The sequence below is a fragment of the Homo sapiens genome, chromosome 1, assembly GCF_000001405.40.
Source record: "Homo sapiens chromosome 1, GRCh38.p14 Primary Assembly".
In the NCBI taxonomy this organism is placed as follows: domain Eukaryota; kingdom Metazoa; phylum Chordata; class Mammalia; order Primates; family Hominidae; genus Homo; species Homo sapiens.
Genome location: NC_000001.11, coordinates 37,602,875 through 37,604,859, shown reverse-complemented (window position 1 = coordinate 37,604,859; position 1,985 = coordinate 37,602,875). Strand labels below are relative to the sequence as shown.

At 45.5% G+C, this 1,985-nt stretch overlaps 1 annotated feature.

Annotated features, from left to right (window-relative positions):
* Positions 1,338-1,632: an enhancer, noted in NCBI's record as "tiled region #1638; K562 Activating non-DNase unmatched - State 12:CtcfO". NCBI's record gives its function as "activates a minimal TATA promoter and a strong SV40 promoter by Sharpr-MPRA in K562 cells {active_cell/tissue: K562}" and the evidence as "EXISTENCE:reporter gene assay evidence [ECO:0000049][PMID:27701403]".

The window sequence follows — 1,985 nt, the reverse complement described above, 5'->3', positions numbered from 1 at the left end:
CACAGGTTCTTCACAGCCATGGCTTGCCCAGTCCATATTTTTCCTGTATATTTGACCAATTGCATTTGTCTTTTGGTATCACAAGCTAGATGTTTGTTGATTGAATGAATGAAGTGGTCCCTCTTGGATGGGTATGTTCTTATATTAGCCCTGGAGATGATAATTATTGATGGTGCTTACTCATTTTTCCTTCTAGGAGGCAAAATGAGGCCAGCATCAAAGTTCAGTGGAGCACCAGGCCAAAAGCAATGCAATCTCGATCTTTCTGTCATTTGGCCACAACTGTTGATGACGACCCAGATTTCCAGGCCCATCTCCTGCCACCCCCATCCCCTGCCCCATCTACTCTTCTACTCAGAATTACTCACTGTGCCCAATACAAATACACATTCAAGTTCCCATGCCTTCGTCTATGCTGTTCCCTCCACCTAAAATGTGTTTCTCCCTGCTTTCATCTGTAGACCTTCTACTCATATTTCATACCTAGATGGAATTACCCTTCCTCTGTGAAGGAGGCCCCTCCCCAGTAGCTGCTCCTCCTGTATGTTTCTATGGACTATTTCACCTTTATGACATCCATGTCTGTGTCCCATAGCCTAAGGTTAGCTCCTGAGAGCAGAGACTGTGGGATGTATTATTGCATTCCTGTTCTTTCCCAAGTCTCTTGAGGCTGTGGGTACAGTTGGAAATACTCTCATAGTGCTTACACTATGCGCATACACATAATGCTTACAGTACTACACATCGACACAGTGCTTACACTATTCTAAGCCTTTTACTTGCATTGCTTCATTTAACCCTCAACACAGCCCTGTGAGGTGGATACCATTATTAGGCCGATTTTACAGATGAGGAAACTGAGACACAAAGAGGTAAAAGGATGTGACCAAGGACACACAGCTAATAAATAAATGAGGTCAGAATTGGACCGCAGGTAGTCTGGCTCAGCTACCACTTAGCTATTTGAAAACCTGCATTTTCCATGTGCTTTTCCATACCTTAGTACCATGATATGCAGCCTGGTGAGTGTCTCATTTATTGGCAGGAGGGGATTCTGAGGGTTGGATCATATGTGCTTACAAATAACGCTATAGGGCCTGCAAGGACATCCATCCACCCCTGCCTTGCCTCTTGAGCCCCTCATCAGCATGCATTGCTCACAAAGCTACTCAAGACCACCTGCCAGTGTGTGCCCCCATGCCCCACTGCAGGGGCTGCCTCCAACACAGTTGAAGCTGCCCACCCTGGGTGTAGCCCCTAGAGACCACGGTGCACCAGAACCATGCCGGGCAAGTGGACCATCTCCTCTACTTTCTGTTGTGCTTTGCTTCAAGGTCACCAAAGTTGCTTTCACAAAGACTGCGGACAAAGGAGCCCTTTGGATTTCTGCCTGAAGCTCCCTTCTCCTTTGGCCTCAGGAAAAAAAAAAAAAAAGTCCTGGAGCTCAGTTAGGGGACTGACAGGTCAGTGCTGCTCCCCTGAGACTTGCTTTTGCCCTCTAGCACCGGCTCTCTCTCCGTGAATTTTAAACCTCTGCAGAGAGCCCCCTGCTGGTCTATGAAAGCATCAGCTACATCAGGTGAGGAGTGGACCCTCGTTTGAATCCCCAGGGCAGAAAAAATGAAATATACCTCTATAGTGGGATGGGCAATGTTCACTCTCAGAGAGCAATGGCAAATAAATAGTCATTGAATGGTCAATTCCCTGTCTCTTCAATGATCAGAACACATACCAGTGCCCTAGCACAGGGGGTTGTAGGCAAGTGTTTTCTGTAAAGGGCCAGGTAGTAAATATTTTAGGCTTCACAGGCCATATGTGGTCTGTCGTGGCTACTCATCTCTGCCTTTGTAGTGCAAAATCAGCCATAGACCATATGTAAACAAATAGTGTGGCTGTGAACCAATAAAACTTTATTTATGAACCCAGAAGTTTGAATTTCATATAATTTTCACATGTTACAAAATACTATTCTTATTTTGAATTTG